This window comes from Homo sapiens, chromosome 2 (assembly GCF_000001405.40).
Source record: "Homo sapiens chromosome 2, GRCh38.p14 Primary Assembly".
NCBI lineage: Eukaryota > Metazoa > Chordata > Mammalia > Primates > Hominidae > Homo > Homo sapiens.
Genome location: NC_000002.12, coordinates 28,439,633 through 28,441,279, shown reverse-complemented (window position 1 = coordinate 28,441,279; position 1,647 = coordinate 28,439,633). Strand labels below are relative to the sequence as shown.

Sequence of the window (1,647 nt, the reverse complement as noted above, 5' to 3'; positions counted from 1 at the left end):
TACAGGTGTGAGCCACTGCACCCAGCCAACAACTTGATTTCTTAATACAATATTTATCTAGTTTATTAAAATAAAAGAGGCAAGATAAATCTTTTATATAGTTAACCAGAATAAAATAAAATAAATAAAATAAAATAAAAAACAGGCTGGTGCTCTTGCTCTCAAGACACCACAGTGTCCTGTCCAGTGGCAATTGGTGCCTTCCAGTGGCATCATCACTTTCCATATGGCACCATCATGGGTTTGGAGGGCAGAAGTTCTCCCCTCCAAATGCCTGCATGGCTTGTGCTGCTTACTGGGAGAAAGACGTTCCAGAACTACTTCCTGATGAATTTCTTCCCAAAGAGCCTGGTTTCTTGTGTCTCCATATTGGATCTTTTTCACTTTTTCCCTCCCCCATCCCCACCCCACACCCTGAGCCCAGGCACCTTAGGGAGTCAACAGGTGCCTTTTAAGGTGACTGTGTTCCTCCTGCGTCATGCTGTCTTCCTGCAAACCTGCTTGGTGGAGGGGCCAGCCGGTGGGGACGCTGAACCCTGAAGCTCTTCGGTCCCAGTTGCCCTGAGTCTCCCTGACAAGGATGTTGGTTCTGGCCCGTCCTTCCCTCTGTCCCAGGCAGAGGACAAGGTCTTTCTGGCTGCAGTGCCCAACATCTCACTCTCCTTGCAGACAATTCAGAAAATAAAAAGTGGCATTGGAGGAAGGCACATGGAGGAAATGTCTTTGGGTTGTCCAGAGGTTGAGCTTACTCTCCACCAGAATTGCCGCTAGACCTCTGTCCCCCTCAGCTTGCCCCTGCTCCACTCTACAGCACCCCCAGCTCAGGCCCAAGGTGGTGACTTCTTAAACAGTGGGTATGGAAGGTGGCATTGAAGAAGTGAGTGAGTGCTGAGCCCTGGCCTCTCCGTAGGACTGCCTGGTTCTCAGACTGAGGAACATGTGGACCCTTTTAAACTTTAAAATCTCTGCCCTCCCTGGTCTCCCAGGAGAAGCTAGAAGTTTCAGGAGACCTCACCCATGAGCCCATTTTCTGACAACCTGGCTCCCCACAAGCATGGCAAGTCCCCTAGAGGTTTGTATGGACGAAAAGGAGAGGCCTTATCCACTGCGCCCAGGGCTCAGCCCTGCTTCAGGCGTGTGTTGTCTGTAGCGGGCAGAGGGAAGGGGGCAGGTGGGGGAAGCGTCATGAGTCTGGCTCCCGACACCTGTCCAGGGCCTCAGCCCGCTGGCCTGGACTCTGTTGCTAACACCCGTGCGGCCGTTGCCCGCCCTGCCACCTGTGAAAGTAAAGCGGGGCTCAGGGGAGGGCCTAGCTCAGGGCGTTCTACGCTGAGTTCCTCAGCACTGATGGGGGCTCTCCATTGTCCCCTCTGGCTCTGCCAGTCCAGGAACCCTGATGGAGCAGGGCTGGGGGCCCAAGACTGAGTATGGCCACCCCCTCCGGCAGGTGGGCTGACTCCAAGGCCTGCTGTGTGGCAGAGGAGTGTGGAGGGTGGTGGCGTGGGGGTGGCAGCTGTCAGGCCCAGGTGAGAGGAAGGCAAACAGAAAGGGATATATCCTCCAAAGCAGTGAATCACGAGCCACGACATTCATTAACTCGGCCTAATTAAGAAACAAACATGACGGCCACTGGTGCTGGGCAATTTG

The 1,647-nt window shown here is 53.7% G+C and overlaps 1 annotated feature.

The window, feature by feature from the left end:
- Nucleotides 899–1,398: an enhancer, noted in NCBI's record as "H3K4me1 hESC enhancer chr2:28662749-28663248 (GRCh37/hg19 assembly coordinates)". NCBI's record gives its function as "activates a minimal SCP1, AML or CMV promoter by ChIP-STARR-seq in naive H9 embryonic stem cells {active_cell/tissue: H9 hESC(naive)}" and the evidence as "EXISTENCE:reporter gene assay evidence [ECO:0000049][PMID:30033119]".